Genomic DNA, 27,976 nt, shown 5'->3' on the forward strand with positions numbered 1-27,976 from the left:
CCCATTGGTAAACCGGGTATAGGTTCCGCCTTCTCTTACTTTGGTGCTTCCCATTGGGTAGGGCCGGGAAACACGATAAAGGGGACATGCCGGGAGTTGCAGTACCCTCAGGAAGGTAGCGTCTTGATCTGCGTGGCGTGGTTCTGTGCCTTGGGAAGAGATGAATGGGAAGCGGCCAGCGGAGCCCGGCCCAGCCCGGGTGGGAAAAAAGGGAAAGAAGGAGGTGATGGCGGAGTTTTCGGACGCTGTTACGGAAGAAACCTTGAAAAAGCAGGTGGCTGAGGCCTGGAGCCGCAGGACGCCGTTCAGTCACGGTAACCGGGTGCTCTCAGGGAGGGGCCGCCACGCAGAGGTCTAGGGATCTCTGAAAAAGCCCTGGGACTCGCGCCCAGCCTTGGGCAGCGGGGCCGCAAGGGAAGAGGCTCTTAGAGGACTTTGGCCACCTCCTACTCTCCTGCCTCGGCTGCTGCTCCCTTTCACTCCAAATTCGGTTGCAATTTAGAAACGTGAGAAGAGGGAGAAATGGAGGCCGGAGAGTTTTGGGAAGCAGAGGGTATGCAAGAGATAGTTGCATTCTGGAGTCAAAGATTACTGAGTTAGAATCCTCTCCCCTGATTGGGCGTCGCCAGGCAATGGAATTAACCTTATTAAACTTCAGTTGCTTCCTAAGTAAAATGGGATAGTTCATAATATTTACCTCGGAAAGTCGGTGAATGGGAGCGACACACTAATGCTTGCAGGCTTCAGTAAATGTTTCCCTGAGTAAGGCCCAATACACATGTGGACAAATACAGGAGTGGCTGATGTCATTTCTCCTGCAAGGGCATTGCTCAGCTGTCCCAGGAGAGTCTAGCCAGGGCATTTGTCGTGAGCTGCCAGCTTGACTCCCTAGTGTACTCGTCTCTACGCGCCTGTAGTTTGACTCCATGATGTATGAAAATAAACGCGCTTTGACCAAGGAAAGGCGCCTACGTTGAACGATTCCAGCCTCAGCTTTAAATATCACCTTAGGTGTTCAGAGCTCTGCTTCATGCGCCAGGCATCCCCTTCTAGAGTTTGCCGTAATTTTTCTTTCCGTTGTCAAGTGCTTTGAAGAGGTGAGTCCTGGGTAGGCTGGATGCCTATAGAAAACGATAGCTTAGTGTTTAAGTGCAGGCTCTGTACTCTCAGTTTCTTCATCTGTAGAATGGGGAGAGTGATAATGTCTCCCTCAGAGCTGTTAAAAAGATTGAATGAGATCATGGGCCTGGCACCTGGTAGGTGGTGCTGATGATTACAGGATGGTGATCTAGCCAGCCGGAAGCAGTGGGTAAATGTTGGGGTAGAAATCAAGGAATTAGAGGTGGTTATGCCCGAACTGAACTGATTTTTTTTTTAAGTACAGTAAGTAGTAAATGCCTCTGACAGTAACTTGGGAAAAGCAAAAGCAGGGAAACTGCCGACCAGTATTGCTACTCTCATTTAATGTGCTACCCAAAGTTTGAGGGAAATGAATTAAAAATCTAAAATACATTCAATTCAATATGTAATCATTGAAACACATAAAAAAAAGAGTAGGAACCTTGATTTAGTGACATCACCCATCACTCATCTCAAGGACTGGAGTTGTAAGCATGGTATCTTTAAAAGTAGTATTTAATGGGTAAAGAAGAAAGGTCAGAGCTTATCATTTTTTCCCCAAATCTTAGACTTTAAGTATTAGGTTCCCCAAAATTCATGACCATCCCCTTTTGTATTAGCTCTGCTATGTTACTTGGATGTCAAAAATACAAAAGGAAAAAAGCCATAGATAATGTTTTTCTTCCAACAGAAGTCATTGTCATGGACATGGACCCTTTTCTTCACTGTGTGATCCCAAACTTCATCCAAAGCCAAGACTTCTTAGAAGGGCTTCAGAAGGAACTGATGAACTTGGACTTCCATGAGAAGTATAATGATTTATATAAGTTCCAGCAGGTATTTATTCCCCTGCCACATTAACTCTTCCAGCTTGGAAATTCACTGTCTATGAAGTCATTGAATACCTTTAGACTTGAGGTTTTAGGGTGGGTTTGCCTTGAACAGTCCTTGCATTGACATTCTTAAGAGCATGCCTTCATTTAACCAAGCTTACTGAGTGTTAACTATGTGTTAAGTGCTATAATTATATGGAAGCCTTAGACAGTGCCTGCCCTGTAAGACTTTAAAATCTAGTGTTCAAAGTGCAAGCTCTGTACTCTCAAAGACTTCTCAGTTTCTTCATCTGCAGGATGGAGAGAGTGATAATGTCTTCCCTAGGTACACAGGTTTCTATGGGTCTCATGGCTTTACCTCCTCTTGGATGTCTAGTAAGTGTCTGACACTTAAGTCTAAAACTGAATTCTTGGTCTTCTCTAAATTTGCTCCACCTGTAGTTTTCCCCATCACAGTTAATAGCAACGTGATCTTTCCAGTTGCTCAGGCCAGAAGTAATAATAAGGGTGAATGTGACGGTGATAGAGATAGTGAAGAAACAAATTAAGCCGATGAGTAAGTATGTTATAAACAAAGGGGTTAAGTACATGTGGGTAAGTGGTATGATGATGAAGAGAGTTGTACGTTGGGAGACAATTACCATTTAAAATCTTGAGTTCGGGCCAGGTGTGGTGGCTCATGCCTGTAATCGCAGAACTTTGGGAGGCCAAGGCGGGTAGATCGCCTGAGGTCAGGAGTTCGAGACCAGCCTGGCCAACATGGTGAAAACCCGTCTCTACTAAAAATATAAAAATTTTCTGGGTATGGTGGCATGTACCTGTAATCCCAGCTACTTGGGAGGCTGAGGCAGGAGAATCACTTGAACCCAGGAGGTGGAGGTTGCAGTGAGCCAAGATCACATCATTGCACTCCAACCTGGGCCACAAGAGCAAAATACCATCTCAAAATAAAATAGAGTTTTGAGTTCATGTTTTTGTTTCAGGTGACTTGCTATATTACAGTATGCTCTACATTGCAGTAGGGCAAAGCGTTAAATCCGTTCTTTTTTTTTTTGGTGGACAGTTTAATTGGGCAGAAAAGACTATCTCTTTTTTTTTTTTTTTAAGTTTGGTTTTTCTACTCTGGAAGACACAGCCTAGTCTAGGTATAGAAATACAGGTCATTGGTTTCCCCAGTTTGGGGGTATATCTTTCAGTACATGAATCCTTTGTAAACCTCAGGGACATCTGTGCTTCAAATTGGGGGGGGAAAAAAAAAAGAAAGATTAAAAAGATGAAGAATAATTTTTTTTTTTGCATTTTCCCATTTTATTTTATCTGGGATAAGAGAGTAAATAACGAATTTCTCTCTCTTATTCTTTTACACTAGAGCTGATTGGTCAGATGGTTGTATCCTGACCTTCCCCAGATCTTTCTGTCTTTGGACCTTATACACATGACTGAATTAACCAGGATAAATACATGAAAGATATGACTCTTAATAATTCAGAAAGCTGAAAACTAAACTGCTTTCCATGGTAAGGTTGCACAGGTTAATTAAAAACCGCAGTTACCTGCTGTTGTGATTATCGCACCCTTGGCCTCTTGTTGATTTGGGGCCATACGCATCTGATTATTAAAATTGAAACATCACAATAATTTTTACTTCATGCAATTTGGAAGATTAAAAATACTGGAAGATGGCCGGGCACAGTGGCTCATGCCTGTAATCCCAGCACTTTGGGAGGCTGAGGCGGGCAGATCACAAGGTCAGGAGATGGAGACCATCCTGGCTAACACAGTGAAACCCCGTATCTACTAAAAATACAAAAAATTAGCCAGGCGTGGTGGCACGCCCCTATAATCCCAGCTACTCGGAAGGCTGAGGCAGGAGAATCGCTTGAACCCAGGCGGTGGAGGTTGCAGTGAGCTGAGATCGCGCCACTGTACTCCAGCCTGGGTGACAAAGTGAGACTCCACCTCAAAAAAAAAAAAACAAAACTGGAAGATATAAGGCAAAATAATAAAAAGAGCCTTGGGTGATTGAAAAAAAAAAAGGAGCTGCCATTACTTTGGATCCACATGGAAGTTTGGTGAAACTCTACTGTGAATAATTTTTACTGTTGATCCCTTTTGGACAGGAACTCTTCACCCTAAGACAGTAGATGTAAAATCTGGTTTCATTCTCCTGCTCCTTTAATCCTCATCCATGCTCTTTTCTTTGCTTGTGGTATGAATTGACTTGATAATTGGGTCTCTGACATCTTCCAACTCCCATAACCAACTCTGTCATTAGGACTTGCCCAGTATTCTGTATTTTTTAAAGCAAGCATTATTGAGTGCATACTTTATGCCATGCTAAGTGCTTTATATTTATTCATTAAATCCTCAAAACAATCCCATTACTATACCTGTTTCACAGTTGAGGAAACTACATTAGTTTTTCTTTCTCTCTGGATCATTCCCTTCAACATAACAAAAAGAAAAAAAAAACTGTTCTTTTCATAAGAAAAAAACAAAGTTCTTGACCTAAGTTTCCCTTCAGCTACCATCCCATTGCTGTGCTTCTCTTGACAGCAGAATTTTATTCTTATAAGAGTTGTCTGCACTGTGTCCAGTTCCTCTCCTGTCAGTCTCTGGTAAGCCCATTTTAATCAGGCTTTCGCTTGTACTACTGCACTGAAACTACACTTGTCAAGATCACCCATAACCTCCACATTACTAAATCTGATAATCAGTTTTCAGTTCTTCCTTGTCTCATCAGCAGCATTTGACCTACTATATCACTCCTTCCTCCTGGAGACTTTTTTTTCACTTTACTTTCAGGTTACCATGCTCTCTTGGTTTCTCTTCTTCCTCAGTGGCTATTTCTTACCAGCTTCCTTTGCTAGGTTTTCCTCTTCCACCTGACTTCTTAATGATAGAGTATTCTGCATCCTAATGCTTGGCCTCCTTCCCTAGGTACACAGGCTTCTATTGGGTCTCATGGCTTTGCCTCCTCTTTGATGTCTAATGAGTTTCTGACACTTAAGTTCAAAACTAAACTTCTGGTCTTCTCCCTCTAAATCTGCTCCACCTGCAGTTTTCCCCATCACAGTTAATATCAGCTTGATCTTTCCGAGGGCTCAGGCCAAAAAGGAGGTCATCCTTGATTCCTCTCTCACCTTATATCCAGTCCATCGTGAAACTCTGCTATCTCTACCTTCAAAATACAGGCAATCGCCACATGATATTTTCTGTCAGCAACAGATACGATAGTGGTCCCATAAAGTAACACCTATTTTTACTATACCTTTTCTATATTTAGATATGTTTAGATACACAAATACTTCCTATTGTATTGTCTATAGTATTCAGTAGAGTAAAATGCCAGGTTGTTCGTGGCCTGTAAACAATAGGCTATACCATATAGCCTAGGTATATATTAAGTTCTACCATCTAGATTTATGTAAATGCACTCGATGATGCTGAAACAACAATGAAATCACCTAACAATAAATTTCTCAGAGTGTAAATGACATACCACTGTATATCCAGAGAAGCCCACTTCTTACTACTTCCACTGCCAAAGGCCAACACCTGGTTCAAGCTATCTGTGTCTCCCCGGGATTATTCTATTAGTGTATCAACCATTTTCCCTTCTACTGTCACCTGCTTAGACAGTCACTGAAGTCATTGTATTCTTTTAAAATGTAAATAGACCCAAGATAATTAAAAATATGTAAAAATATGTTCACATAAAAACTTGTGCACAAATGTTCATAGCAGCTTTATAATTGCCAAAAAGTGGAAACAATTTAATGAATAAACAAAATGTGGTATACCCATAGAATGGAATACAACTCAGCCATTAAAAGGAATGACGTACTGATACTACCACAACATGGATGAACCTTGAAAACATTAGGCTAAGTGAAAGAAGTCAGATGCAAAAGGCTACATATTATATGATTCCATTTATATGTAATGTCCAGAATAGGCAAGTGGTTGCGAGGAGCTGGGGGGAGGAGAGAAGAGGGAATGACTAACAAAATTGGCACAAGGGTTTCTATTTGGAGTGTTAAAAAGTTCTGAAATTAGGAAGTGCTGATGATCGCCCAACATTGTGAATATACTAAAATCCAATGAATTATACACTTTCAAGAAATTGAAATTATGTGGATAATTGTGTTATGTGGATATTATCTTAAAAAATGTTCTCAAAAACTCCAATGACTTTTTTTTTCTTTTTTTTGCTTCAGAAATCTTCTCATTTCTTTAAGTCAAAGCCAAAGTACTTAAAATGGCTTTAAGTCACCTATTAGGTTTTTTTTTTAGACGGAGTTTTGCTCTTGTTGCCCAGGCTGGAGTGCAATGGCGAGATCTCAGCTCACTGCAACCTCCGCCTCCAGGTTAAAATGATTCTCCTGCCTCAGCCTCCCGAGTAGCTGGAATTGCAGGCATGCACCACCACGCCTGGCTAATTTTTGTATTTTTAGTAGAGACAGGGTTTCACCACGTTGGTCAGGCTGGTCTCGAACTCCTGACCTCATGATCTGCCCGCCTCGGCCTCCCAAAGTTCTGGGATTACAGGCATGAGCCACCGTGCCCGGCCCCACTATTACCTTTTTGGCCTCATCTCCTACTGCCCTCCCTCTCCCTCTCTGCTCTTGCAATAGCTGGAATAGGCCAGGCGCGCTTCATGCTCAGGACCTTGAATGCTTTGTGCCTTGATATTGCCTTGCCACACTTCCCAGCCTCCTTCAAGTCTTTGTATCACCTCCCTGAAGTCTACCTTGGCCAACCTGTTTATAATTGCAAACCACTCCCCAGGCTTAGCACTCCCCATTCTTTCCCTGGGTTTCTTTTTTTCCTTTATGCACTTCTCACCATCTTTATACTAATCTGCTTTTTGTGTCTGTTGTCTATCTCCCTCAATGGGCATAGAAACTAGACTATAATAACGACTTAAGTATTTGTTTAATGAATAAAGCACAGAGGGTAATAACTTGTCAAGTCACAGACCCATCCAATGGAGGGGCCCTGTGTTAAACCTAAGCAGCCTGGCTTCAGAGTCTGGGCTCTTAATGACAATGCTAGGACCAGAACACTCACTAAACTGCTCTCCTTTGTGTGTCTCTTATGTGAAGGAAATCCCTTTTTTTTCTCTATTTTCATGATCAAGTCTGATGATTTGAAGAAGAGAAGAGAGCCTCACATCTCCACTTTAAGGTAAACAAGTAATCATATTTGTTGGGTGCTAATATGTGCCAGGCAGAGTAGTAAGTGCTTTAAATGTTACAACATTGTGTATGTCATATAATTCTTGTTGACATTGTTAACCCACTTTGTAGAGGAGGAAAGAGACCGAGAAATTGAGTTTGCATAGCTTAAAATTAAGGGAGCTAGCATACAAACCTAAGTCTGTCTGATTCCAAGGCCCAAGTTCTCAGTGATAAAATGCTCAATCTTGTTAGTAATCAAGGAAACAGAAGTTAACACTGGAGATACCATTTTTCACATGTTAGGTTGGTAAATATTAAAAATAAAAACCCTAGTGTTGACAGATATAGATAGATAACTTTATACACTGCTGTAGTCTTTCTTCAAAGATGGTTTTGAAAGATGTATCAGAACCCTTAAAAGTATGCATATCTTTTTGTAGAACAGTTTCACTTATAAGAATTTATCCTGGGGGCTGGGCGTGGTGGCTCACGCCTGTAATCCCAGCACTTTGGGAGGCCGAGGCGGGTGGATCACCTGAGGTCAGGAGTTCAAGACCAGCCTGACCAACATGGAGAAACCCTGTCTCTACTAAAAATACAAAATTAGCTGGGCGCGGTGGCACATGCCTGTAATCCCAGCTACTCAGGAGGCTGAGGCAGGAGAATCGCTTGAACCAGGGAGGTGGAGGTTGGGGTGAGCCGAGATCGAGCCCGTTGCACTCCAGCCTGGGCGACAACAGCGAGACTCCATCTCAAAAAAAAAAAAAAGAAGTTATCCTGAGAAAATAAGGATATGCTCAAAGATTCCATACAAGATTACTTATTGTAATATTGTTTATAATATTGAAAAATTATATACAAATTTGATCGCCCATGGAGATTTAAACATAATAGTACAAAACATAAAGTGGAAACTATACAACCATTAAATATGATATACATGAGTTTTGACACATGAATGTGGTAGTTATCTATGTTCTCAATTCTAAGAAACTTTTAACATTTTAACACCTCTGGGATCTAGTGTCTCACACAATCACTTTTGTGTCCTACTTTAATTGACAGCATTTTTTCCTTAGTGATATATGAAATAATGATACTTAACACATTTTTGTCAAGAGAAAAAAATAATACACACAATTTGATGCTTTGTTGTTTTTTCTGACCAATGGATTCACATCACGTGATCTTATTTTAAAAAGAGATACACACACCTACATTTGGATGTCTGTGTGTATAAAGTAAAAGATTTGGAAAAATAGAGTATTTAACTCCTGCTAGTAGGAATACAGATTTTTTTTTAATAGTTTTTTACTTACATGGGATTTTTTTCCTAGTTTCTATAATGAATAGATGTTGCTTTGTAATAGCTGTTTTTCACCTATATGGTATAAATTATTTATTCTCATTATATTTTTTCTCTGCAGTACTTCCATGTATTATAGGCAGCTTGCACAATTTCTTCTAAATCCTGAAGTATTGCTTGTGTGTTAATTGTAATGCATTATGTTTCATATTTACTTAGACTTTTTTCCCCCTAAAGAAAGATTATCATGAATTAAGGCATTATCCCCTTAGTTCACAACACCACTCTGCTAAGCATTTCATGTGGGACTGAGTTACATTCCACACTAAAGGCTTACAGCCAGATGGTGAGCAAGCTGCAACTCCGTAATCGTTACAGAGAGCTGATCTTTTTATTTCCCACTTGGATTCTGTGAGTTCCTTCATGAATACAATTAACAAATGCTAACAATGACAAAATAAGCCTGTCCTTGTGACACTTTCATAGAATGAATAGAAGAGCTTTTTCTGGAATTTGTGAAAGCTAATGTTACCAGTAAAGGATTTAAGACTATTAGTTGCTTACAGTATCAAGACTTTGAAGAAATATTTATCTCTCACATTATCTGAAGCCTGGTTCAGCAGTTTGCTATCCTGACCCATTTTACATAATTTCCAACTCTGCCTTTAAAAGTTACATGGCACCTCTGAGTGGACTGACTGAGCACAATTATTTTATGGAATGTTCTTTAAGCTTGTTCGCAGCTGATAATGGAATTTTTTGGTTTTGATAGTGTATAATATAAAAAGGTATTTGGTAATGAAATCTTAGAGATCAACCTGGAGATTTGATACTTAGTTATAAACAGGACAGTTCTATTTTATGGGAATTTCAGTAATGTGCATTTGGAGTAGGATGATCCAAAAAAATATTAAGTATCTTTGTAAGCGTAACTTGAACTAATGTAAATCTTTTTAAAATGTTTTAATTCCTCAAGGTTAGTAATAATTCATAATTTCAAAGTTGATTGGCTGAGTGAGTTATAAATTGTGTTAAGAGATTTCTACATGGAGAGCCAGTTTAGCTGGTAAATGGAAACGTTCACCATCTTCTATTGGTATCCTGTTAGCATCAGAACTTCTATGAAGGATTTCACTCATTATTATGCATTTAATTCAACACTCATCATTATTGCCATTTAAAGTTGTTTTAATCTTCTAAAACAGTGCCACCCAAGTGTTCATTAAATGGCGGTACCAGTATTGGTGCTTGTGATTTATAATAAATGTATATTTGGTCTTGGTCTCTATTCCTGGCACAGACCTCTCTGACCTCCTGCAAGGGAAGAGAGGCTGGAGGTTGAGTTAATCACTAATAGCCAATCACTTAATCAATGATTCCTTCATAATGAAGCCTCCATCAAAAACCCTAACCAAAGGAGTTCAGGATTGCTGAACTCCCATGGAAGTGCTGGGAGGGTGGTGTACCTGGGGAGGACGTGGTGTGGAAGCTCCACACCCCTTCCCCATACCTCACCCTATACATCCCTTCCGTCTGGCTGTTTCTCAGTTCTGTCCTTTTATAATAAACTGGTAATCTAGTAAACAAACTTCTTCTGAGTTCCGTGAGCTATTCTAGTAAATTATCAAACCCAAGGAGGCAGTAGTGTGAACCTCCAGTTTATAACTGTTTGGTTAGAAGCATATGGGTCACAACTTGAACTTGTAATCAGTATCTGAAGTGGGGTTGGGGGAGAGGGCACACTGGGGGCAGTCTCATGGGACTAAGCCCTTAACCTTTATTAATGCCTGGTAGATAGTGTCAGAATTGAATTGAATTTTAAGACACTCAGCTGGTGTCAGAGAATTGGTCAGTGTGGGGGGATAAGCCCACACATTTGGCATTGGAAGTGAAGTAAAGTGTGTAAAGAAAAACAGTTGAGGCCAGGTGCTGTGGCTCATGCCTATAATCCCAGCACTGGAGGCCGAGGCAGGCGGATCACTTGAGGTCAGGAGTTGGAGACCAGCCTGGCCAACATGACAAAACCCCATCTCTACTAAAAATATAAAAATTAGCCGGGCGTGCTGGTGCATCCCTGTAGTCCCAGCTACTCGGGAGACTGAGGCAGGAGAATCACTTGAACCCAGGAGGCAGAGGTTGCAATGAGCCAAGATCACACTGCTGTACCCCAACCTGGGCAACAGAGCAAGACTCTATCTCAAAAAAAAAAAAAGAAAGAAAAGAAAAGAAAAACAGTTGAGCTTTCCATTTTAGTGCTGAAAAACTTGTCTGAAAATCAGTAACTTGGACTAGACCACTGGTGTGATGAGTTGTTATGACAAAGGCCAAACTGCTGCCATGACAGGGCATACTTTAAATTTAGGAGAAAGAAAATACTGAGAAAACATGAACCATTAGAACAAAAAATAACAAATATAATGTAGGTAGAGACTTACATTTATTTTTCTGGGAACATTAGACTTAAACTATGCAAATTTGAACTGAGAAACATTTCTCAGAATGTCTCAAATGAGATCGGAGAATGGATCTCTTGAATACAATGTGATCTCCAGGAAAGAAAAGTTGTGGCCTAGATCCAAACAGTTGTGACCTAGATCCCACACTGTGGCATAACAAGTTATCTTTTGTTTACATTTCTAGGAAAATTCTGTTTGAAGATTTCCGGTCCTGGCTTTCTGATATTTCTAAAATTGACCTGGAATCAACCATTGACATGTCCTGTGCTAAATATGAATTCACTGGTAAGGAAGATAAAGGCCTGGTGTCTGTAAGATATAAAGGCTTTAACTCAGCATTAATGGAGAGATGGTATCTGTGTACCAAAACACTCAACTGAATGTCCCTGCAAAGCATCCGGATCTTCCTGATAAAGACCCAGTTCATAGACAGAAATACCCACCTTATTGGAAGGCATAAGCAGTGGTTGTCTTTCAGAATATGATGAAAGCTACTGACCATATTTTCAGCAAAATCCCCATAACATACATACACACCAACTGTACATACAATATCAAGAAATTCAGAGTGATATATAAACTCTATTCTTAGACTTCCTAAGGAACAACCATCTCCTTCAATGCCATTCTCCCTTCTCTTTTTTATTTTGAAGGCAATAAGTGAATGCATTCTTAAAGGAAAAAAAATCAAACAATATTGCAGGTATATGGTGTAAACCATGATAGCCTTCTTCACCTTCTCCCTGCTCCCTCTTCTCTTCAGAGGTACCTATTGTCACCAGTTTGGGGTGCATCCTTCCATTTCTCTTTCTGAGCATATAAATGGTTTTTTTGGATACAAGCTTGGTTTTTCACCCAGAAGGAAAAGGTTTTTTCTTTTTTAAATTTTACTAAATAAAATAATTCTTTGAGTGTACTCTCATACACTGTCCTGGAAGTATAGATGGCTCACAACTTTTAGAGGATGACTTGGTGATACATAGGAAAAGCCATATCATGTATCTTCATTTACTGCCATGTCATTTCTTTTTTGGGTTTTTTTTTTTTTTTTTTTTTTTTTTTTTTGGTTTGTTGGTTCGTTGGTTCGTTTTGAGACGGAGTCTCCCTCTGTTGTCCAGGCTGGAATGCAGTGGCGTGATCTCGGCCCACTGCATCCTCCACCTCCCGGGTTCAAGTGATTCTCCTGCCTCAGCCTCCTGAGTATCTGGGATTACAGGCATATGCCACAATGCCTGGCTAATTTTTGTATTTTTAGTAGAGATGGAGTTTCACCAGTTGGCTAGGCTGGTCTCAAACTCCTGACCTCAAGTGATCCGCCTGCCTTTGCCTCCCAAAATAGTGGGATTACAGGTGTGAGCTACCATGCCAGTATTTTTTTTTTTTTTTTACTTTGAAGTAATTTCAAACTTGCAGAAAAGTGGCAAGCATAGTACAAATAATTTATTTTTTCCTATTTTACTTGAGAGTAAGTTGTTGGCATGATGTTCTATGACCCCTGAATACTTCAGTAATTTCTACAAGGACATTCTCCTACATGATAATCATAAACCATCAGAATCAGGAAATTTACGTTGATGCCTTATTCCACATCAATGGATTATCTAATCCTCAGGCTCCATTCAGGTTTCATTATTTGGTCCTTTATAGCAAAAGGACCCAGTCCAGGATTGCATGTTGCATTTAGTTATAATATTGTCTCTTCAGCCTCCCTCAATCTAGAACAGCCCCTCCATCTTTCCTGGACTTTCATGATCTTTATGCTTTTGAAGATGTACAGATGAGTTATTTTGGAAAACTTGCTTCAGTTTGGGATTGTCTGATGTTTTCTCATGATTAGATTCAGGCCATATATTTTTGGCAGGATTACAGAAATTAATCCTGTATTCTTTTCACTGTATCAGGTGGTGCATGGTTTCAGTGTGTCACATTATTAGTGATATGAACTTGGATCACTTGATTAATGTGGTGGCTGACATCAGGTTTTTCCACTGTTCTTTTTCCCTATCAGTATATATTTTGTGGGGAGATACTTTAAGATTATGTAAATATCCCATTTCTCATCAAAGTTCGATTTGCTTATTTTAGCATTCTCTGATGTTTCTTGCTAAATTATTACCATGAAGGTTGCCAGATGGTGATTTTATAACACAATCATTTCTCTACATTTATTGTCATTCCACTCTAGAGAAGACCTTTCTCCTGATTTATTTATTCATTCGTTTATATTGGTATGGATTTATGGATTGCTGGTTGTGTAATGAGCTGTTACCAGTTACTATCATTATATTGATGCTCATACTGTCCCTGATTTATCAAGGAGAACCCCGTCAAACTGACTTCTGCGTTCTTTTGCTATGTCCCCATCATTCTTTTTTTTTTCCTACTTTCTGCAAAACAAGATTTTCCAAGCTTATCTTTGTATTTTCCATGCCAACGTCCTAGAATGACCTGGAGTTGGCCATTCTTCCAAAGAATCCTGGTTCCTTTTAGTGAAGAAAGATACTTAACAATCAAGATCTGGACTCTTAAGTGTCTTTGCTATTAGGGTGTCACTGCTCCCAGACCCCTTCAGTTTGAAGAGGTGGTGAATATCTGTATACATGTATATACACATGTGGATGCACACACATACATTTACATTTGGAATGTATTTCTTTTTTTTTTTTTTTAGACTGTCTCTCACTCTGTTGCCCAGGCTGGAATACAGTGGTGCGATCTTGGCTCACTGCAACCTCTGCCTCCTGGGTTCAAGCGATTCTCCTACCTCAGCCTCCTGAGTAGCTGGGATTACAGGCGTGCACCACCATGCCCTGCTAATTTTTGTATTTTTAGTAGAGATGGGGTTTTGCCATGTTGGCCAGGCTAGTCTCCAACCCCTAACCACAGATGATCTGCCTGCCTTGGCCTCCCAAAGTGCTGGGATTACAGGCGTGAGCCACCGTGCCCGGCCTGTATTTCTATATATAGATATATAAAACTATAGATATAGGAAACTGAATTCCCATTGATTCCTCGAGTTCCAATTGAACACCACAGGGTTCATTCTAGATTTCTGCATTTCCATATTTGTAACTCCCTTCTTGAACAGTGAGAAACCTGGCTTCCATTATCTTCAATGTATTTATCTATTGAAACAATCCCTCCATGTGTAATTGGTTGCAGTTCACCATAGCCTTCCCTCCCTCTCAGCCTGCACAGATGCCTATCTTGCTAGCCCCAGGACATGACTTTTAGAAGTTCCCCTCAAGAAATTAATACGAGCAAGTACAAAAGATCCATGTACAATAATGTTCATTAAATTAGTCTTTATAGTAGCCAAGAAATAGAAACAACTTAATTAACAAATAGAAAATCTATTAAGGGTGGAAGGAGGTAAGTTCATAATCCATATAGTAGAATAACTACAGCCATTAAAAGTGATACCAAGTGTGTATATTGATAGGGAAAGATACTTGCCATGTAATTTAAAAAGCAGGCCACAAATAGACACTGTCGGATGCTATTTTTTTTAAAGTAAATACATATATGTAGGAAAAATACTGGAAGATGATATGTAAAAATATTGTTAGCGATTATATCTGGATCTATCTAATTATGTGCTCTTTATTTTTAGAGTTTTCTATATTGACTTATTTGTTTACTTATAAAAGAGGAGAAATAAGTGTCATTTTAAAGCTGGAGGACATTTAAAGCTGGAGCTGACATTACAGTTGAATGTCAAACGGACTGATATTAAATGCAGAGTCAGGTGTCAGCTGGTCACTATCTGCAGGGATCTAAGGTGTCCATTAAACTATTGCAGATGCCCTGCTGTGCCATGATGATGAGCTGGAAGGGCGCCGGATTGCCTTCATCCTGTACCTGGTTCCTCCCTGGGACAGGAGCATGGGTGGTACCCTGGACCTGTACAGCATTGATGGTAAGATAAGTATAAGTGCATGCACTTCACCACCAGTGGCACTTCTGAGTTAAAGCTGAGTTGATTCAGTATCATGTTTTTGTATACAATGTCTGTACTCCTCAAAGGAAGTGGAAGCTATTTATTATAGTAACTACCTCAAGAGGAATAAATGCCAGCCCTGACAACCACCTCTTTAAGTTGGACTTAAAAATGACTCCAGAGATCAATTAGAATCCATTTAAGATGAGAAATAGTCAGACCAAGCTTCTGAATACTGACTGTGGAAGGGTGGAGTGCATATAAGGCTGCCTGTGGCTATGAATCTGCCAGGACCAGTCCATTTGACAAAGTCTAGGTTTTTTTGAATGTCTAGCACCAGAAGTTGACTCCAGGAAACTTTGAGAACTTATTCCAGCCCTTCTCAATAATAGATGGATGGTGTAGTAAGAACAGATGCCACGTAGTCAAACTCGCAAGTATGAGTGAAGCAGATGGAAAGGGCGGTATTTCAGGGTCTGAAGGGCACATCTAGATGCCCTCAGAAGTTTGGAAATTGTCAAGAGTAAAATGAGGCAGGCTGGAAGTGGTTAATGATAATTTATTGATGTGTTCTTTCCTGGTGCAGAACACTTTCAGCCGAAGCAGATTGTCAAGTCTCTTATCCCTTCGTGGAACAAACTGGTTTTCTTTGAAGTATCTCCTGTGTCCTTTCACCAGGTAAAGACTGTAAGCCACAAATAGAGTAGCAAGGATTATGTTTTTTAATCACCCATTATCCAAACATGACAGCTTCCTGTTAGACTTGTTATCTGATGTTGTTTTAATGCTTAGCATGGAGGACCCTGAAATTAATGTGCATTGGCGGTAATCCCCCTATTCTTCGTGTTGATGTGCTACTGGGCTTCTCCTTTCAGGTGTCTGAAGTGCTGTCTGAAGAAAAGTCACGTTTGTCTATAAGTGGCTGGTTTCATGGTCCATCATTGACTCGGCCTCCCAACTACTTTGAACCCCCCATACCTCGGAGCCCTCACATCCCACAAGATGTAAGAAGAATTGCTGATATCCTTATCTTAGGAGCTATAGCATATCATTTGTTTCTCTGATTTTAAAATTAGCTGTTCCATTTAATGAAACTGGACCTTGAGCTTGCCCCTTTCCACTTTTCTTTTTTTTTTCTTCCTTTTTTTTTTTTTTGAGACAGAGTCTTGCTCCGTCACCCAGGCTGGAGTGCAGTGGTGCGATCTTGGCTCACTACAACCTCCACCTCCTGGGTTCAAGCGATTCTCCTGCCTCAACCTCCTGAGTAGCTGGGCTTACAGGTGCCCACCACCACGCCTGGCTAATTTTCATATTTTTAGTAGAGAAAGGGTTTCACCATGTTGGCCAGGCTGATCTCAAACTCCTGACCTCAAATGATCCACCCACCTTGGCCTCCCAAAGTGCTGGGATTACAGGTGTGAGCCACTGCACCCGGCCTACACTTTTCTTAAGTAAACTTTTGAGAGTGTCTTTCTCAAGCAGAGTTTTCCAGTACTTTAATAGGAGAAACTTATAAAATGAGGATTTGCATGTATTTTATTAGTGTGAAATGATGTAAGAGCAAAAGCAATAGGAATTATTAACTCACATTTTGCATCTGCTGCCTCTTCGTAAGCATGAGATTTTGTATGATTGGATCAACCCTACTTATCTGGACATGGATTACCAAGTTCAAATTCAAGAAGAGTTTGAAGAAAGTTCTGAAATTCTCCTGAAGGAGTTTCTTAAGGTAAGCTTAGCGTATGTTGTTCTGAATATTTTGTTTGGCATGCAATTTTGCTTCCCAAATGGGTGAATAGGCATCACTGGGGAGTTTTTGTTTTGTTCCTGATTAGAATGTTTTTGTCATTCCCTTCTTCAAGTGAAACATAGAAATGATGATAACACTAACATTAGTATCAGCAGTATGCTTAGTGGGTTAAGAATCCCTTGGATATTCCCCAGTTCTCTAGAGTCTTAAACACACACACACACACAAGCTTCCACCCTGAAAAGGAGTTGTGTGTAGTTACCTTTCTATTCATCTAACAAATATGGTGCTTCTTATTACTTTTAAAAATAGATTACTAATAGATCAATATCTGTTGTTGAACATTTGACAGTGATGAGGTAGCTTGTTATAGTGGAAAGAGATTAGAAATCAGAAGACTGGCCAGGCACAGTGGCTCATGCCTGTAATCCCAGTACTTTGGGAGGCCGAGGTGGCCAGATAATCTGAGGTCAGGAGTTCAAGACCAGCCTGGCCAACATTGTGAAACCCCATCTCTACTAGAAAAAATAACAAAAATTAGCCGGGCATGGTGGCATGCACCTGTAATCCCAGCTACTCAGGAGGCTGAGACAGGAGAATCACTTGAACCTGGGATGCAGAGGTTGCAGTGAGCTGAGATTGCGCCATTGCACTCCAGCCTGGGTGACAGAGCGAGACTCCGTCTCAAAAAAAAAAAAAAAAGAAATCAGAAAACTTATTCTCATGCCCTGGCTCTGTGGTTTTACTAACCTGGGCAGATCACTAAATCACTCTGGGTATTTATTTTGTCTTCAGTTAAACTGGGATTCATACCTGCCTTGTCTTTCTCATAGAGTTGTTGTGAGGGCCAATAAGATAACTTTTGCTGGCATGGCACTTTACAGTTGACTGTGGGTCCCATGGAGCCATGGTCCCAAGAGCTATTCCTCCATGAAAAAAGGTTGAGACTCTACATCCTGTCTCTCTCTAGCAATTTTATAGCTGACATTAGCATATTAAGGTTTTGAGAAGTATTATAGTAAATAAACTGAATACCCTATTCAATTCAGTTTACCTAAACCATGCTATGGGATCTTTCCTTTTTCATGCATTTATAACTGATAGGACTGCTTGGGAAACTGCATTAAACAAATAAATGGAAAGCCTCTTGTGGAGAATATTTCAATGGATTAACCAGCTTCCTGTGTCGTACCTAACTTTTTGAATTTAGAATGGTTATTAAATTAGGGGCCTAGAGAATCGGAATTGTTATACAGAGATTGTCACGGTAATGACCTTGATTGTAATGCAGTTTAATTTTTTATCCTCAAAACATCTTGTGAGTTGTATTATGGTCTGTATTATGATCCTCATTTTATAAATGCAGCAGTCTGGGAGGTTGAGCAGATTGACGTAAGGTATATAACTACTTAAGAGAATGAGCCACAATGGCACTCAGGTCTCTTGGCTAAAGCAAGCCAATGATGTATCCAGTCTTCACCCTGGCTTTACCACAGGAGGAGTAGGGGATCTTGTATGAAAGGAGTGAGAGTCGGCCAGGCGCAGTGGCTGATGTCTGTAATCTCAACCCTTTGGGAATCCAAGGTGGACAGATCACCTGAGGGTCGGGAGTTCGAGACCAGCCAACATGGAGAAACCCCATCTCTACTAAAAATACAAAATTAGCCAGGCGTGGTGGTGCATGGCTGTAATCCCAGCTACTTGGGAGGCTGAGGCAGGAGAATCGTTTGAACCCAGGAGGTGGAGGTTGTGGTGGGCCGAGATCACGCCATTGTACTCCAGCCTGGGCAACAAGAGTGAAACTCCATCTCAAAAAAAAAAAAAAAAAAAAAAAGGAATGAGAGTCAACTGCACCTTTTAGGAATCAGCCAGATTGATGTTTGGCAGAGCTGCTGTACCTGCCAAACCAGTGCGGGGTAATAGGGAGATCTGCTGAATGCTTCTTTATTTGCTCATTTTCTAGCCTGAGAAATTCACGAAAGTCTGTGAGGCCTTGGAGCATGGACATGTGGAATGGAGCAGCCGAGGTCCCCCTAACAAAAGGTAGAACCCGTCATCTGAGATATTTGCTTCTACATTCAGCACCTATAACATTTTTTTATAACTAGTAAAATGACAAAAAGCCTAAAGGAAAAATAGACTGAGGTGATGACAGGCAGTTCATGAAAGAAAATCAAATAACCAACAGGAAAAAATATACAATCATGCACCAAGGCTCACACCCAATAATAGGACACTTGCCCTAATGATGTTTTGTTCTCAGGGACATCCAGTAGCAGGATGTCCTAACAAAATCCTAACAAAATCTCACTATTGTAATAACTTGTGCCTTAGTAAGCTGTGCCAAGATTTAGGAAGAGAGGTACAAAGCTAACGATCAGCTTTTATTCTGTGAGTCATTTTACATCTGTGGCTTTGATGAACAACTTGACATTGCTGTTTTTCAGGTTTTATGAGAAAGCTGAGGAGAGTAAGCTTCCTGAGATATTGAAGGAGTGCATGAAGTTATTTCGCTCTGAGGCACTATTCTTGCTGCTCTCCAACTTCACAGGCCTGAAGCTTCATTTCTTGGCCCCTTCGGAAGAAGATGAGATGAATGATAAAAAAGAGGCAGAAACCACTGATATCACTGAAGAAGGGACTAGCCATAGTCCTCCTGAGCCAGAGAATAATCAGATGGCCATCAGCAACAACAGCCAACAGAGCAATGAGCAGACAGACCCAGAGCCAGAGGAAAATGAAACAAAGAAAGGTAAGCTGTTGTTAGGATTTGTCCTTACTTACCATTAACCATTCACCATTCAAACATGTATTCATTCAACAAACATTTATTGAGCATCTACTGTGCCCTAAGCCCTATTTCAGGAACTGAAGGACAAAACAGACAAGGTCTCTGGTCTTTGGGAGCTTACATTCTAGTAGAAGAAGACAGAGATTAAATGTATACATGAACAACAAGAAAACGTCAAGTAATGATAAGTGCTATGCAAAACATTGTAATAGGGTTATATGACAAGAAATGACTGAGTAGGCCAGGTGCGGTGGCTTACACCTATAATCCCAGCACTTTTGGAGGCGGAGGCAGTCTGATCACCTGAGGCCAGGAGTTCGAGACCAGCCTGACCAACATGGCAAAACCCCGTCTCTACTAAAAATACAAAAAAAAAAAAAAATTTGCCAGGCATGGTGGTGAACGCCTGTAATCCAAGCTACTCAGGAGGCTGAGGTGGAAGAATCACTTGAACCGGGGAGGAGGAGGTTGCAGTGAGTCGAGATTGCACCATTGCACTCCAGCCTGGGCAACAGAGCGAGACTACATCTCAAAGAAAAAAAAAAAAAAAGAAATGACTGAGTAGCCTCTTAGGCGAATAGATGATTTAGAAAAGTCTCTCTGAGGAGCGCCATTTAAGCTCAGATCTGAATATAACAGCCTAAGAATTTAAGAGGTAACACTCCTGTGAAAATATTGGCACCATTAAAAAGTAGCAACAAATTCAGCTTAGATGTTTCAGCACTTACTACTATGTCAGTGAGAACATCTGTCACCCAGTTTACCATTCCCTGCTTCCACTCAAATTTCTTGAGAACCCTGTGCAGTTAGGAGAGCAGAGACAAGGGGTGGATACTTGTGGAAACAAAATCAGTGGTTTGAGATGCTAACTGAAAGCAACATAACTCATTCTGTGGCCTTCCAAAACTGACTGAACAGTCACTTTGGCCACTGCAGATATTTAGTAAAACCAGACCCAGGTGGCTTTTTCTGTGCTATCTTAATACACAGGGTAGCCTTTCTTTGAAAGATTAGTTTTCCATGTTAATTGATACTGGCATTTATGCCTAGACCCTAAGAGGAACCAGAGTCAGTATCCATGGAGTCTGTCTCAAAGGGATTTTTTAAAAAACTTATCCACTTCTGTTTGTTTGTTTGTTTGTTTGTTTTGAGACACGGTCTTGCACTGTCACCCAGGCTGGAGTGCAGTGGTGCAATCACAGCTCACTGCAGCCTTGACCTCCTAGGCTCGAGCGATCCTTCTGCCTCAGTATCCCAAGTAGCTGGGATCACAGGCATATGCCACCACACCCAACTAATTTTCTTGATTTTTTTTTTTTTGTAAAGATGGGATCTTGCCATGTTGCCCAGGCTGGTCTCAAACCCCTAGGCTCAAGTAATCCTCCTACCTTGTCCTCCCAAAGTGCAGTGATTACAAGCGTGACCAATCACACCTGGCCAAAACTTGTCCAGTTCTATTCCTTTTTTGGTTTCATTTTTACGGGAACCTGCAACTTAGGATAAAATCTATATGGGCAGCCAAAAGATGCTTTATTCCATTGTTGAGCACCTACTGTATACAGGGGGCCTTGGGTGAAAGCAGAGTAGGGAATACAAAAGTGAAAGAGAAAAGTCACTGTTTACGAAGTTTACCATCTTGAAGAAAAGCTATAAAGCTTGGCAAAAGCTATCAAATTGCTGGGCATATGATAGCAGTGCTAAACATTGGCATAGCTAGGGCACATCTAGTGAGATAACATTACAGACCTGATAACTTGAAGATGATTTTAAAAAATAAAAATACGTCAATTTCAGAATGTTTAGAAAACAAGAAAAAGGAAAATAATAATCTACAAGTGGCCATATTAGCATTTGGAATATATCCTTCCACTGTTTTTTTGCTATGTAGACATATACATGTATACACATATGGGGGGTATATTTTTACACATCTATTTTTAATGAGATTATACCATATATATTGTTCTGTATTTTTTCCACTTAATATTTCATAAACCTCTTTCTGATCCTTTTACATCCTTTATAACAATAGAACAGGTTTGCACACCCTCCTCACTTAGGAAACCTTCCACCAAAGCAGTTTTGCTTTTTTTGTTTTGGTTTGGTTTGGTTTGGTTTGGAGACAGAGTCTCGCTCTGTTGCCAGGCTGAAGTGCAGTGGCATGATCTCGGCTCACTGCTACCTCCGTCTTCCGGGTTCAAGCGATTCTCCTGCCTCAGCCTCCCGAGTAGCTGGGACTACAGGCGCATGCCACCACGCCCGGCTAACGTTTTGTATTTTTAGTAGAGACGGGGTTTCACCGTGTTAGCCAGGATGGTCTCCATCTCTTGACCTCATGATCCGCCCACCCTGGCCTCCCAAAGTGCTGGGATTACAGGAGTGAGCCACCACGCCTGGCCACCAAAGCAGTTTTACATGTATCTGCTTTCCAACATTGCATTTCTAGAAGCTTTTATTTCAAGAATGTATGCCACAATTAAGTTTTGAAAAACACCGTTCTCTAGTATACTTTTTAATGCTTGCAATCTATTGGATCAGATGACCTTAACCAGTCCTGTGTTGAGCATTTAGATTTTTTCCAGTTCTTCACTGTCATAATAAACGACACATCCATTGTGTCTTCAGAATGCTTCTCAGAAGTACAGGTGATACATCAAAGACTGCTCAAAATTTTAAGGCAGTTGCCAAATTGCCTCCCCAAAACTTGTATCAGTCTGCACTCCCACCAGCATTGTACATGATGATGTTTTCATTCTTCCTAGCAAACTGTTATATTTTCTTTTCCAACTTGCTTATTCTTTAGGTGGAAATGGCATTCGCCTATCATTGACTAATGGTGCGTGGTTGTATATTTTTCCCTATTGGTTACTTGATTTTTTTTTTTCATGAGTTGCCTGTCATTACCTCAGTGTATTTTTCCTTTGGGCTTTTTGTCATTTTATTAGTTAATTTTAAAAAGTTACATATAGGAGTATTAACCTTCTTTTTTTTTTTGAGGTGGACTCTCGCTCTGTCACCCAGGCTGGAGTACAGTGGTGTGATCTCAGCTCACTGCAACCTCTGCCTCCCAGGTTCAAGCGATTCTCATGCCTCAGCCTCCTAAGTAGCTGGGATTACAGGCACACGCCACCATGCTCAGCTAATATTTTCGTATTTTTAGTAGAAACGGGGTTTTGCCATATTGGCCAGGCTGGTCTTGAACTCCTGACCTCAGGTGATCTGCCTGCCTCAGAGGAGTACTAACCTTCTGTTTAACAGATTGTAATAGTTCATTTTTTAATTTTGTTCAGCATGGTTTAAATTTTATAAAATATTTTAGTAATCAGGTCTATCTTTGCCTTTCCTCGTTTCTACTTTAGGTAATAACATGCTGAGAAATCTCTTAAGGTTAGATAAAATAATATTCATGTCGTATTTTTTATTTTTTTGCAACTAGACTTCTTTTCCATCTGAAATTTATTATTATAGAGAGAAATCAAAATTCAACTTTTTTTTTTTTTTTTTTTTGAGATGGAGTTTCACTCTTGTTGCCCAGGCTGGAGTGTAATGGCACAATCTCGGCTTACCACAACCTCTGCCACCCGGGCTCAAGCAACTCTCCTGCCTTAAGCCTCCCGGGTAGCTGGATTACAGGCATGCACTACCACGCCTGGCTAATTTTGTATTTGTAGTAGAGATGGGGTTTCTCCATGTTGGTCAGGCTGGTCTTGAACTCCCGACCTCAGGTGATCTGCCCACCTCAGCCTCCCAAAGTGTTGGGATTACAGGCATGAGCCACCATGCCCGGCCCAAAATTCAACTTTTTTACCCCAAAATAGAGCTGGTAATTCCTAACAATCTTTTATAAGGCTGGATTGGTAGAATAGCACTTCAATCAAAGGTTTGTGGGAATGGTTTCCCTGTGTTGCTGTATCATTCCTAATTATGATTCCCTTGCAATCCAACAGTTCTATCAAGGTTATTTTTTAAAGTTTCTCATCTTTTTTTTTTTCCTTAGAATCAAGTGTTCCCATGTGCCAAGGGGAACTGAGGCATTGGAAGACCGGTCACTACACTTTAATTCATGACCATAGCAAGGCTGAATTTGCCCTAGACTTAATTCTGTACTGTGGCTGTGAAGGTAAGAGGGAGGAAAGCAAGCGGTGGATTATTCCCCGTAGGAGGGGCAGTCTCTTCTGAGGGACCCTTTCCAGCTGAACCAATTCATAAGTAATTTGCCTAGTTCAGAATCTCACATCATGGGATCTCAAAGTCAAAGGGATTTTACGGGTCATGAATTCCAGTCTCCCAGCTCAAAATAGGATTTATATCTGTGACTAGGAAATGGGGAGATGGACCACACCATAATTTTCCCCTAAGTGTGCTCCCAGATCTATAGATTTTATGTAATTGCCCTTCTGGGAATATTTAGCATTTAATTCTCTCTTAATTTTCATATTCAAAGTTTATTGAAATAAGACTGCATTTCAGTTCAGCTGTCTCAGGAAATTAGGCATTTAGGGGAAGGCAATCCATGATAAACTAGATGATAAGTTCAAGCTCATAAGTCATAGAACCAGTTACTGCTGAACTCCCAGATCCCCCACTGTTAAGCAGCATGGGATCAGTGATTTAAGTAGATGGTGCGACTCTTTCAATAGGAGCTTTCTGAATGCTGTTTGTTTTTCTCTTGTAAGGCTGGGAGCCAGAATATGGCGGTTTTACTTCTTACATTGCCAAAGGTGAAGATGAAGAGGTAAGTTTCTTCTGATAGCAAACTATCATTTTTAGTTATTGAGAATGCTTTCATTTTTCAAAGACCCAATTTTTATGACCTTCTACCAGTGTCTTTAGCTAATAAATCTCTGCCAGGCAATGGTTCTAATTTCTAGTAGAAAATACTCAGGATGGAATAAAGATGCTAAAGGATACTCAGTAAGCATTTATTTTACCCTCCTGAGAAATTCCAAATTAAGAGCCATGTGGTGCATTCCCACAAATCTTACAATGTAGTAAGAAATAAATGTAATAGGTAAGTACCTTTCTAGGTATATGCTGGAATAGGGCTTGTTGGAAAATGGCTTGACAGCCACCCCTAGTAAGTGTTCATTCAGAGGACCCCTCTATCCCCAGATTAAGTGCTTGATATGGAAACCATCTGTTCCATGGTTAATCATCCAAGATTTGAGAATAAGTTCTGTGTTCTGATGTGTCACTGTATTTGTCTTTTTCAGCTGCTAACAGTGAATCCAGAAAGCAATTCTTTGGCATTGGTCTACAGAGACAGAGAGACTCTGAAATTTGTCAAGCATATTAACCACCGAAGCCTGGAACAAAAGAAAACCTTCCCAAACAGAACAGGTTTCTGGGACTTTTCATTCATCTATTATGAATGACAGCACTGGGCAAAGCTGAACAAAAATGTGACCCTTCGTAATTACTGGGAAGTCTGAAAGAGCTAAGCATGGAGTCAAGGAGAACTACATGGTAGCTTGCCTGACAGTGTTCTTAAAACTGGTTGTCTTTTACTAGGACTCATAATGATTGTCCTCAACCGAGACCTTGAGCTTGCAGCTAAGTACTTATCTCTTGATTAAAAAAAAAAAGTTGGCTTTTTTTTTTTTAACATTTAGTCCTTTTTCCATATTGGCTTCTTCAGTGAATTTTTAAGTTCAATTTGTTTTTATTGAGGTAAAATATTTATAACATAAAACTGACCAGCTTACCCATTTTTAAATATGCAATTCAGTGGATTAAGTACATTCTCATTGTTGTCCAGCCATCACCATCATCCATCTCCAGAAGTTTTCCATCTTCCCAAATTCTGTGCCCATTGAACAATAACTCCCCACCTCCCCTTCCCCTAGCAACAGCCATACCTTTTGTCTCTATCATCAACTTCACTACTCATATTTCTCATGTAAGTGGAATCATACAGTATTTGTCCTTTTGTGACTGGTTTCACTTAGCATAAAGTCTTTAAGATGCATCCATGTTTCCAGTGTTTCGGTTTTTTTAGAAAAACTCATACGTGATTGCAGCCGGGCATGGTGGCTCACGCCTGTAATCCCAGCACTTGGGAGGCCAAGGCAGGCGGATCACCTGAGGTCAGGAGTTAAAGACCAGCCTGACAAACATGGAGAAACCCCATCTCTACTAAAAATACAAAATTAGCTGGGCGTGGTGGCACATGCCTGTAATCCCAGCTACTCAGGAGGCTGGGGCAGGAGAATTGGTTGAACCCAGGAGGCGGAGGTTGCAGTGAGCCGAGATTGTGCCACTGCACTCCAGCCTGGGCAACAAGAGTGAAACTCTGTCTCAAAAAAAAAAAAGAAGAAAAAAACATAAGTGATTGCAGAATTTTGTTCTTCTCATAATTTCTGGTTTAGAAAATTATGGAGCCTTACATCCTGATCATGCTGGGCCTTAGAATTCTGACACAGTGAGTCATCACATTTCCTCCCACTGCCTGTGGCCTTGTTCCACCATGACTCTCACAGTACAGTGTAGGCTTAGTGTAGTATTATTCCCTTGGAAAGGGTCTGGCCTACCATCACATGCCCCAAGAAACTTCTGGTTGGTAAAGAAGATAGGCTGCTTATTGCCATGTGTAGTCACTTCCAAGTGCCCACTGCCTTTCCATCCTGCAATTGTGGCCTGTGTATAATTAAATGATTTTAGCCTCACGTGTTGCTTCTGTTTTCCTAAATACTGTAGGGTCAACTATATAACTAATTGCTTTTTATTTTAAGAGACGGAATGCTAAAACCACATCAGAATGCCAAGAGGCTGTGCATCTTGTTAATTTTTTTCTTGAACTGTTCCAGGGAGTTACATCATAATTACCTGTGTGTGGGTATGCATGGGTGGATGAAAGATGCTGTTCTCATTCCATCCCAATAGAGTCTTCTGTTTCCTTTCTCTTTTTTACATTTATTTTTAGCTTTTGCAGTAGTGTTTAGTGTGGGTTTTACTAATTAATAGAAAAAGCACTGGGCCTTTAAACTTCTTAACTACTCTTCTCTTTCATCTCCTAAAACTTTTGAGTATTCATTCTTTTCTGAAGTTTGCATTTAAATGAAAATGACTTTCGCTTTGGCTTTTAGGTTTAGTTTCAAAAAGGTTTAATTCTGCACCCTAGCCAGTTAAGAAATGTTTTAGCAGGTATGCCCTTGATATGGATATTTATATATTTTACACATGTAGTAATATTATTTCTATAACTTACTGTTATAAAACACTAATTTTTAAATGATGAGATAAAAAGAAATATCTAGAACTAGTTCTAACATTGTCTTCCCCTATGCATATGGTAACGAACCATTTTACACCATACTATTTTGGAGACCACAATTTTTTTTGCGTTTGAGATGGAGTCTCACTCTGTGGCCCAGGCTGGAGTACAGTGGCATGATATCGGCTCACTGTGACCTCTGTCTCCTGGGTTCAAGCAATTCTCCTGCCTCAGCCTCCTAAGTAGCTGGGATTACAGGCACCTGCCTCCATACCCAGCTAATTTTTTTATATTTTTAGTAGAGACAGGGTTTCACCATGTTGGCCAGGCTGGAGACCACAATTTTTTAACCACAGTGTAGCAACACTCAAGTGGGATTGCGAATACTGTTACTAATGGTTAATGTCACAGCTTGCCTTTTCTATATTCCAGCTGACTAAAGGTCATCTCACTCACTTGCCTTCTGATGTGTTTTCATGAGTTGAGGGGAAAGGGTGTCAGTGGCATAACTTCAGGAAGACCCAGGGAAAAGTGCTTGGGTAGGTGAAACTGTCATGTGTGCCAAGCTTGGAAAATAGTTTGAGACTCATGGCTGTAGGCACCATCCAAGGCCAATTTTCCAATTCTGGAAAGCCAAATCTGAATCTTAGAATACCTCACAAGTGTTAAAATGTGCTTTTTAGTGTCTCCTTTATCTCAGTGTGTTTATGATCTGTCAACACATAATCATCTTTTATACACTACAAAAAGGGACTCGGGTGTCTGAGGGGAGAGAATCCCTAGGAGCCCAACTCTGATGTTGCTGTCAGTTACATCATCTACAGCAGCACCTCTTAGATTGTGAAGGATGGTGTAACTTAAAAGATTGTGTTTCTGCACTGAAGATAGATACACAGTGATAGTGAAGTTTGTTTTCCTTATAGTACTTCATTTTGCATCTTGATTGCTTTTTAGGGCCTGGGGCCAATGTCAACAACTCTTAGGTAGCAAAAGAAGAATTAGAACATGGGCATCTTTTTTATACCTCTTTCAGATAAAAGCTATGATGTTCACCTGTAAAATATATGGTTTCTCTCTTTATTCTTAATAGTGAGTCTCCAATTCTTATAACTCCCATTTTTATCCCCAAAGAAAATAGCTCTATGGGCCCGGCATAGTGGCTCACACCTGTAATCCCAGCACTTTGGGAGGCCCCGAGGCTGGCAGATTACCTGAGGTCAGGAGTTGGGAGACCAGCCTGGCCAACATGGTGAAACCCTATCTCTGCTAAAAATACAAAAATTAGCTGGGTGTGCTGGCACGTGCCTGTAATCCCAGGTACTTGGGAGGCTGAGGCAGGAGAATCGCTTGAACCCAGGAGGGAGGCAGAGGTTGCAGTGAGCCGA

General features: G+C 40.5%; 2 protein-coding genes across 10 annotated transcripts in view, besides 2 other annotated features; one reads left to right on the forward strand and one right to left on the reverse strand.

Moving 5' to 3' along the window:
* Positions 53-382: an enhancer, noted in NCBI's record as "active region_10850". NCBI's record gives its function as "activates an Ori minimal core promoter by ATAC-STARR-seq in GM12878 lymphoblastoid cells {active_cell/tissue: GM12878}" and the evidence as "EXISTENCE:reporter gene assay evidence [ECO:0000049][PMID:35858748]".
* On the forward strand, positions 72-27,652 carry OGFOD1 (2-oxoglutarate and iron dependent oxygenase domain containing 1). 8 transcript variants are annotated; one of them, NM_001324359.1, is made up of 13 exons: positions 72-115; positions 1,811-1,956; positions 7,061-7,142; positions 11,082-11,182; positions 14,700-14,816; positions 15,424-15,515; positions 15,713-15,841; positions 16,453-16,566; positions 18,551-18,630; positions 19,035-19,339; positions 23,376-23,498; positions 24,055-24,113; positions 24,592-26,043. In NM_001324359.1, the coding sequence occupies exons 3-13, from the start codon at positions 7,087-7,089 to the stop codon at positions 24,751-24,753; spliced, it is 1,338 nt and encodes a 445-aa protein (NP_001311288.1). In that variant the 5' UTR covers positions 72-115; positions 1,811-1,956; positions 7,061-7,086; the 3' UTR covers positions 24,754-26,043. The 8 variants fall into 8 exon arrangements, with proteins under 8 accessions (NP_001311288.1, NP_001311290.1, NP_001311291.1 ...); NM_001324361.1 differs by having other exon boundaries at positions 7,096-7,142; NM_001324362.1 differs by having other exon boundaries at positions 1,811-1,928; positions 7,096-7,142.
* Positions 1,110-1,169: a silencer, noted in NCBI's record as "silent region_7508". NCBI's record gives its function as "represses an Ori minimal core promoter by ATAC-STARR-seq in GM12878 lymphoblastoid cells {active_cell/tissue: GM12878}" and the evidence as "EXISTENCE:reporter gene assay evidence [ECO:0000049][PMID:35858748]".
* BBS2 (Bardet-Biedl syndrome 2) overlaps positions 18,951-27,976 on the reverse strand; it is a 49,622-nt gene continuing 40,596 nt past the window's right edge. For both annotated transcript variants that reach the window (NR_165297.1, NM_001377456.1), the window contains one exon: positions 18,951-19,162. The gene's annotated coding sequence lies outside the window, so the exon portion shown is untranslated. The remainder of the gene's footprint in view (positions 19,163-27,976) is intronic.

This window comes from Homo sapiens, chromosome 16 (assembly GCF_000001405.40).
Source record: "Homo sapiens chromosome 16, GRCh38.p14 Primary Assembly".
NCBI lineage: Eukaryota > Metazoa > Chordata > Mammalia > Primates > Hominidae > Homo > Homo sapiens.

What these genes read in the sequence shown, in the direction of transcription:
- OGFOD1 (NM_018233.4), top strand. Translation starts at nt 161, where the DNA reads ATGAATGGGAAGCGGCCAGCGGAGCCCGGCCCAGCCCGGGTGGGAAAA. An exon ending in CAGGACGCCGTTCAGTCACG is followed by an intron (nt 315 to 1,810) that starts GTAACCGGGTGC and finishes TTCTTCCAACAG; the next exon opens with AAGTCATTGTCATGGACATG. An exon ending in TCCTGAAGGAGTTTCTTAAG is followed by an intron (nt 16,567 to 18,550) that starts GTAAGCTTAGCG and finishes CTCATTTTCTAG; the next exon opens with CCTGAGAAATTCACGAAAGT.